This window comes from Homo sapiens, chromosome 1, assembly GCF_000001405.40.
Source record: "Homo sapiens chromosome 1, GRCh38.p14 Primary Assembly".
NCBI classification, from domain to species: Eukaryota; Metazoa; Chordata; class Mammalia; order Primates; family Hominidae; genus Homo; species Homo sapiens.
The window spans coordinates 68,624,763-68,625,796 of NC_000001.11; positions in this window are offsets into that span (position 1 = coordinate 68,624,763).

The following is a 1,034-nucleotide window of genomic DNA, read 5'->3' on the forward strand; positions in this document are numbered from 1 at the left end:
AAAAAAATCTCTTTCCTTAGTAAACTCTCTGTGGTAGGAGAAACATTTTTAAGGTGGCCACGTGTTTCCTCTACCAATCTTCAACTGGATATTTTGAATGTTGCTTTCTTAGCTACTCTCCACTTCTCAGATCTGTGAAGACAGGTGCTGACGAGGGACCCCAGGGGAGGGCAGATGATGAATGAAAGACTTTATTGTTTTAGAGCTCAGAGAGAAATCCTCCCATTGCTTTTCACAGCACCATGAAGGAACAAAATAAAGGGCTTTAATTAGTTGGCTATAAGCAGCTTCTTGGACTTTCTTAAGTGATTTTGAGAAAAGAGACAAGCAAGAAAGAACAAGCCTAGCAGTTACCTGTTCTTCCACGAAGCTCTGCCTAAGGATTAGGATGCTTAGGTTCCATCATAAACTTGACTGACAAGAGCCAAAAGTGTTTTAGGGTAAGACTGAGTCAACTGGTTCACAGGTATTAAGCTTAGAAAAATAAGAATTTTTTTTCATTGGACTGGAAGAATGGAAGCATAGTCTGTTTCTCTTAGACATAAATAACAAATAATGCATAATACATATATATTTTGTTTTTAGGATCACACATTTTTTTTCTAGCTAAATCCCAATATCTTTTAGCATTAGAATTTAAGGCTAACATAATTGTGACTAAAATTATAGTTTAGCCATAGAAAGATGTTAGCAGGATTCTTTCTTCTTCTTTAAAGAAATAGTTATCTAAAAAGATTTTATTCATAGTTCACAGGTTGGGCTTTAAAAAAATGGAGATAATTTTTAATTTTTAAAAAAACTGGATATCTTTCTCTACCTGATGATAATTATATAGGTAATACAATACTTACTAAGTCTTTAAAAAGTGATTATGGACAAGGACAGGTGTTTCAATGCTTAAAAAGAAAAACAAAAACAAAACCTCATCTAATAGAATCAGGTTATAAAGTAATCAGAATTCATCAGCAATAAAGTTTAATTCCATGGCACTGTACTGTTATCTGTCAAACATTCTTACAATTAAGAGAAAATAT